Source organism: Homo sapiens, chromosome 10 (assembly GCF_000001405.40).
Source record: "Homo sapiens chromosome 10, GRCh38.p14 Primary Assembly".
Lineage (NCBI taxonomy): Eukaryota > Metazoa > Chordata > Mammalia > Primates > Hominidae > Homo > Homo sapiens.
The window spans coordinates 64,976,166-64,977,482 of NC_000010.11; the positions used below are offsets into that span (position 1 = coordinate 64,976,166).

A 1,317-nucleotide genomic window follows, 5' to 3' on the forward strand; every position below is an offset into this window, starting at 1 on the left:
TGTACCATATGTATCACAGATTGGTATCAGCAAATTTTTCCTATAGGAAACCAGATAGTACATAATTTAGGCATTGCAGGCCATAAGGTCTCTGTCACAACTGCTCATCTCTGCCATTGTGGTGTGAAAGCAGCGATAGAAAGTATGTAAATAAATCAGCATAGCTGTGTTTCAATAAAACTTTATTGACAAAAACAGGTGGTTGAAGTATGAGATTTGACCTATAAGTCATAGTTTCCCTATTGGTGGCATACAGGTAGAATAAAACTACATGCACAAACATGGATGAATAATATATTTTTGAGTGAAAGAAACCAGACATGTAAGTGTGTATGTTGTAGAATTCCACTTAATAACAGGCAAACTGTGGTGATACAAGTCGGAAGAATAGTTACCCGTGTTTGGTGTATGTATGTTTGGGGGTTTGGGGGTAGCTGGGGCCCTGTAGTAACTGAAGGAAGGTTTAAACTCAGAAGATGGGAGGGGTGTCTGGGCAGCTAATACTCTCTTTGAACTTACTTTGGGTTAGATGTACATGCTTACTTTGTGAAAATTCATCAAGCTATTAAGTATGTGTGTAATACTATTATTATTAAGTGCATACATAAGCTATTAAGTATGTATGATTAATACATACATAATAAATAGCTTGATGTAGCTGTAAATATATTATACTTTACTAAAATATCATTTTATAGATTCTATGGGGAAAAGATTGTCTCATCTGTGAACTTAAATCTATTAGACTATTCTAGAGCAATGACGGGTAATTAAATTGCACTTAAGGGGAGACCATCAAATCAATTTCTGTCAAAAATTTTAAAATAATATTCAAACACATGAGAATATACAAAGACAGAAACATGATATTTTCTCAATAATATATTTGAATACACAATAGTATAGTATTGAAAAATACATAAAGATCTGAGTTCTATTTTAGATTTTTAGTATAACTAACGAGAATTTGGGGTTCTGGATTTATTAGCATTAAAATAAGGGAAATACAATTTTTCTTATTTAAAAAATATGTAAAGCGAAAAGTTAAAAAATGGAAAAATTTGAACATTAATAGCTTTATGGAATCACAAGAATTCTCTTCTAGCCTAAATACATATTAAATATATATTGCTAAAAGAATATATGGCAAATATAAAGCATTTTTTATAAATTCAAAATATACTAAATGAAATGCATTCTAAATATCTCAAATAGTGAATTGGCTAAGTAAATAACACTATTCTATTGAAATAAATATAATGAAAGTCTAAATTAATGTTTAGAAATGATAAAATAACATGTAAATATTTAAGAAGT

The 1,317-nt window shown here is 29.5% G+C and overlaps 1 annotated feature.

The window, feature by feature from the left end:
- Positions 920-1,089: an enhancer, noted in NCBI's record as "experimental_14639 CRE fragment used in MPRA reporter constructs". NCBI's record gives its function as "activates a minimal promoter by MPRAs in K562 erythroleukemia cells, with activity observed for the non-introgressed 10:66736928 variant allele {active_cell/tissue: K562}" and the evidence as "EXISTENCE:reporter gene assay evidence [ECO:0000049][PMID:34662402]".